This window comes from Homo sapiens, chromosome 12 (genome assembly GCF_000001405.40).
Source record: "Homo sapiens chromosome 12, GRCh38.p14 Primary Assembly".
Classification (NCBI taxonomy): Eukaryota; Metazoa; Chordata; class Mammalia; order Primates; family Hominidae; genus Homo; species Homo sapiens.
Window position 1 is genome coordinate 127,978,558 of NC_000012.12, and position 6,000 is coordinate 127,984,557.

The 6,000-nt window shown below is 45.8% G+C and overlaps 1 long non-coding RNA gene across 1 annotated transcript in view; it reads right to left on the reverse strand.

The window, feature by feature from the left end:
* LINC00508 (long intergenic non-protein coding RNA 508) overlaps positions 1–5,334 on the reverse strand; it is a 99,903-nt gene extending 94,569 nt beyond the window's left edge. Inside the window, exons 1-2 of the long non-coding RNA NR_126452.2 lie at positions 5,245–5,334; positions 4,510–4,568 (exon numbers count right to left, since the gene is read on the reverse strand). This is a non-coding gene — a long non-coding RNA (long intergenic non-protein coding RNA 508). The remainder of the gene's footprint in view (positions 1–4,509; positions 4,569–5,244) is intronic.
* Between the last annotated feature and the right edge of the window lie 666 nt (positions 5,335–6,000).

Consider the following 6,000-nt stretch of genomic DNA (forward strand, 5'->3'; position numbering starts at 1 on the left):
TCTCAAAAAAAAAAAAATGTTTTTGCTACATTGCATTTCTACATATTTATGGGGTCCATGTGAGGTTTTGTTACATGCATAGAATGTGTAATAGTCAAGTCATGGTGTTCAGGGTATCCAACACCCAAGTGTTTATCATTTCTATACAATGAGTACATTTCAAGTCCTCTCTTCTAGGTATACAAGTGGCAAACAAACCTATGAAAAAATGCTCCACATCACTAATCATCAGATAAATGCAAATCAAAACCACAGTGAGATACGATCTCACACTAGTCAGAATGGCTATTATTAAAAAGTCAGGCCAGGCACGGTGGCTCACGCCTGTAATCCCAGCATTTCGGGAGGCCGAGGCAGCCGGATCATCTGAGGTCAGGAGTTCAAGACCAGTCTGGCCAATATGGTGAAACCTTGTCTCTACTAAAAATACAAAAATTAGCTGGACGTGGTGGTGGGCACCTGTAATCACAGATTCCTGGGAGGCTGTGGTAGGAGAACAGCTTGAGCCCAGGAGGCAGAGGTTGCAGTGAGCTGAGATCATGCCACTGCACTCCAGCCTGGATGACAGAATGAGACTCTGTCTCAAAACAAAAATAAATAATAAATAAAAAGTCAAAAACCAACAGATGCTGGCGAGGCTGCAGAGAAAAGGCAACATTTACACACTGTTGGTGGGAATGTAAATTAGTTCAGTCACTGTGGAAAGCAATTTACAGATTTCTCAAAGAACTGAAAACAGAACTACCATTCCATCCAGCAATCTCATTCCTGACTATATATCCCAAAGAAAACAAATTGTTCTATCAAAAAGACACATGTACTCTCCTGTTAACGGCAACACTATTCACGATAGCAAAGACATGGAATCGACCCAGGTGTCCATCAACAGTGGACTGGATAAAGAAAATATTCAGACAGGGAAACAGAAAGCAACCATGTTTCACAGAGGGGAATATACACCATGGAATTCTACTCAGCCATAAAAAAGGATGAAATCATGCCCTTTTCAGCATCATGGACGCAGCTGGAGGCTATTATCCTACGCAAACTAATGCAGAACAGAAAACCAAATATCCCATGTTCTCACTTATAAGTACGAGCTAAACATTGGGTACTCAGGGACATAAAAATGAGAACAACAGACACTGGGGACTACTGGAGGTGGGAGGGAGGAAGGGAAGAAAGGGTTAAAAACCTCTTAGTTACCACATTCACTACCTGGGTGGTGGGATCATTCATGACCCAAACCTCAGCATCAGAAAATGTAACCAGGAAACAAACCTGCACATGCACTTCCTGAATCTAAAATAAAAAAATCCAAATTAATCCAGTAAATTATAATAACACTTAAAAAGTAAATTTGTATATATAACCTTCCCCAAAAAGTTATCTTTTCTAGCTATTTTCAAAGATCCAATATATTGTTTACTGTAGTCAACCTACTCTGCTAAGAAACATTAGAACTTATTCCTTCTATCTATTCAGGATGGTGGGGAAAATGATAAGCCACAAACCTTCTTGGAAGGCCTGAAGATTTTTGCAAAAGTCTCAGGATAAGGTTATGGCTGAAGGCAACCTAATCCTTATTTTGAGTAAATAGCCTAAAGTGGGTACAAAGCAAGGTAGTTTACCTAACTAGCTTGTTTACTCATGTGGTCCTAAGACTAACCTTTCATCTACGGTGGGTGCTTAATTGCTTTCTACTCGGGAAGTCAGCAATGTCAATTACGCTCTAGTGGTGTTTACTCACAACCTTTGTCAATTAATCTTTACTGAATAAATTTAAGTATCACTGACTGATCAAGGCCACGGCTGCGACTAAGTGGCCCAGACGCTCAGCCAAACTGGCAAAGCAGAATATCTGTGTGTCAGTGTACTTTATTCATCCGTCGCTGGGTCAGGGTCTGCAGGACAGACCCCCACATCTATCTAACTGTATGATTTTACCCATTAACCAAGCTCTCTTCATTCCCCAGCCCTCCCACCAGCACACCCCCTTTCCAGTCTCTGGTATCTATCATTCTACTCCTCTACCTCTATGTGATCAATTTTTTAAGTGCCCACATATGAGAACATGCAGTAAGATATTTTGACCCTCTGTCTTACAGACCATGAGCCTAAGGTGCTTTAAGGATGCCTACGTGCAAGTAGCCTTGAGATAAAGCTGTCTTCCTTCTGTCTCGCTCTGCTCAGGCAACACCTCTCTCCACGCCTGAGGACCACAGTGACCCCTACTGTCTCCTTCCCACCCCCTACGCCCCCAGGTTTAAAAGGAGAGAAGTGTCTGACCCCTGTGGGCAGCCAGATGGGGAAAAACAAATAACTCTGCCAAAGGGTCCTACAGGAGCAATTCTGAGAGAGCATAAAGTCATTATTTCATTCCAACTTGAAACAAAATGAAACACCCAATATCAGTGCATCAGAGAAATGCCTGGCCTAGAAAATCCACACCATTGGAATTATTTTTCTTTCTTTTTTTCTTTTTCTCAATAATGTATCTCATTGGTAACACACCAGGAGAGAGAAACTGAATTAAGACCCTTTGTCACTCTTGGTTAATACAGCATTCTTTTTCTACTTCACAGAACTAGCAATGAAAAGAATCCCACCTGTTAGGAAACTTCTGCTATTTACCTAGTTAGCTTGTGCTCAGTGCCATAGGAAATGTAAAAGTAAATGGCAGAGACTCTGCTCCCAACATCCCTTCTTTTTTTTTTTTTTTTTTGTAGAGCCCCTTCTAATGTTAACGCATTTTAGCATTATCACAGTTACCTGAGGAAAATACTGTTTTAAAACTCGTTTTACAGATGCATAAAACCAACGACCAGAGATGTTAAATAGCACACCTGAGGGCACACAAGTAATTTACAGAAACAGTATCTGAACCCAACTATAGATACCTCAGATTCTGGGATTTCCGGCTTCATGTCCTACAGCTTCCATAATGACACATAGCAGAAGGAAGGAATGACAGCAGAATTCAGCAGAAGTTCACCTGAAGTTATTAGGAATGGGGAAAGTTGTCTTGAAAGCAGCTGAGTTTCTGTTAGCAATTGCAAGATGGGTGGGGGTTTGAATGTGCCTGAAGAGTACAGGGAGGTATATCTTAGGTACAAGAGAGAGTGAAAGCGGAGGAGGAAAGTGGATGTGGAGACCTGCGCATGGGTTGTGAACACCCTAAGTGTGGAATGCTAGAAAGCCTCCAGGGTCGTCCCTCACAGATTATGAGGACAGGGACCATGAGACTGATGTGTGCCCGAGGGGCTCTGAGGACTACAGACACCAAGGATTCTGCCCTGCTGGGAATAAGCACATTAAAATAATTCAAACAGGGATAAGGCAGGGTGCAGAGAGAAAGTCACTTTGCTGAAATGTTATTAAAACAGGTTATAGAAAAATGTTTGTCATATCCTTAAAATAACTTAATCATGTAGGTAGTTTGTAATAAACGTTCCTAGTAAAAAATTAACATGCTGCAGAGAAAGCACACGCTCCTCGGGTCACCGCTTCACTCCCCTGGGACCTGATGTAACTATCATGATCAATGTCATGTACAGCCTTCCAGATCTTCTCCTGAGGTTTTGCTAACATATTTACCCACGGATAGGAATTGGAGCATATAATGTTTTTGTCTTTGCTTCCTTACAAAATATCATACTGCATGGTTATTTAATAATGTACTTTAGCACTCAAAAATATGGCTTAGGAGTTTTTTTCAACATCTGTATTTGTAGCTTTTTTTTTTTTCCCAACTGCCTCAAAGTATTTCATGGAGAGATAACGGTTTTGTTTTGTTTGTTTTTTTGAGATGGAGTCTCGCTCTGTCACCAAGGCTGGAGTGCAATGGCACGATCTCGGTTCACTGCAACTGACGCCTCCCGGGTTCAAGTGATTCTCCTGCCTCAGCCCCCTGAGTAGCTGGGATTACAGGCGCCCAAACCACACCCAGCTAATTTTCGTATTTTTAGTAGAGACAGAGTTTCACCATGCTGGTCAGGCTTGTCTTGAACTCCTGACCTCAGGTGATCCACTCGCCTTGGCCTCCCAAAGTGCTGGGATTACAGGTGTGAGCACTGTGCCCAGTCAGAGATATAAAGTTTTATCAGCCACTTCTGTCAATGATAGACACTGGTTATTTCCAACTTTTCAGTCCTGCCAACAATGATGGGATGTGTTTCTGGGTCTCTCCGTTATACATGCATGTGCGTTTTTCTCAAGGTATTAGAAGAGGTTGACTTGAAAGGCTAGAGGGCTTACTTATTAAATAATTCAATAGATACTACCGAATAGTTACCGCACTGTAACTATGCCAATTCAACTTCCACCAGCAGACAGTAATAACCCATAATTCCCCACACCTGGCCAAGATTTGCTATTATTGGATGGTTCATGATTTTAATGGGCTTTCTGTTAACTGTTAGTGAATGTATTAGTCCATTTTCTCGCTGCTGATAAAGACATACCCGAGACTGGGCAATTTACAAAAGAAAGAGGTTTAATTAGACTTACAGTTCCACGTGGCTGAGGAGGTCTCACAATCATGGCAGAGGGCGAAAGTCACTTCTTATCTGGTGGCGACAAGACAGAAAATGACGAAGAAGCAAAACTGGAAACACCTGATAAATCCATCCGATCTCATGATGAGAGGTGACAGAATGCTGGCAGCCCTCGCAGCCCTCACTCGCTCTGAGCACCTCCTCGGCCCTGGTGCCCACTCCAGCTGCACTTGAGGAGCCCTTCAGCCCACCGCTGCACTGTGGGAGCCCCTTTCTGGACTGGCCAAGGCCGCAACCCGCTCCCTCAGCTTGCGGGGTGGTGTGGAGGGAGAGGCATGGGCGGGAACCAGGGCTGCGCGCGGCGCTTGCGGACCAGCGAGAGTTCCGGGTGGGCGTGGGCTTGGCGGGCCCCACACTCCGAGCGGCCGGCCGGCGCTGGCGGCCCCGGGCAGTGAGAGGCTTAGCACCGAGGCCAGCAGCTGCGGAGGGTGCGCCGGGTCTCCCTAGCAGTACTGGCCCACTGGCGCTGCGCTCAATTTCTCGCCGGGCCTTAGCTGCCTCCCCGCCGGGCAGCGCTCGGGACCTGCAGCCCGCCATGCCTGAGCCTTCCCCCCTCCCACCATGGGCTCCTGCGCGGCCCGAGCCTCCCCGACAAGCGCCGCCCCCTGCTCCAGGGCGCCCAGTCCCATCGACCACCCAAGGGCTGAGGAGTGCCGGCGCACGGCGCGGGACTGGGAGGCAGCTCCACCTGCGGCCCTGGTGCGGGATCCACTGGGTGAGGCCAGCTGGGCTCCTGAGTCTGGTGGGGACGTGGAGAACCTTTATGTCTAGCATTTATTGATTGTAAATACACCAATCAGCACTCTATCTAGCTCAAGGTTTGTAAACACACCAATCAGCACCCTGTGTCTAGCTCAGGGTTTGTGAATGCACCAATCTACACTCTGTATCTAGCTACTCTGGTGGGGACTTGGAGAACCTTTACGTCTAGCTCAGGGATTGTAAACGCACCAATCAGCACCCTGTCAAAACGGACCAATCAGCTCTCAGTAAAACAGACCAATCGGCTCTCCTTAAAATGGACCAATCAGCAGGATGTGGGTTGGGCCAGATGAGAGATTAAAGGCAGGCTGCGGGAGCCAGCAATGGTAACGTGTTGGGGTTCTCTTCCGCACCATGGTAGCTGTGTTCTTTTACTCTTTGCAATAAATCTTGCTGCTGCTCACTGTTTGTATCCACACTGTCTTTGTGAGCTGTAACACTCACTGCAAAGGTCTGCAGCTTCAAGCCAGCGAGACCACGAACCCACTAGCAGGAAGAAACTCTGAACACATCTGAACATCAGAAGGAACAAACTTCGGACACGCTGGCCTTTAAGAACTCTAACACTCACCATGAGGGTCTGCAACTTCATTCTTGAAGTCAGTGAGACCAAGAACCCACCAGTTCCGGACACAATGAGACTTATTCACTATCATGAGAATAGCGTGGGAAAGACCAGCCC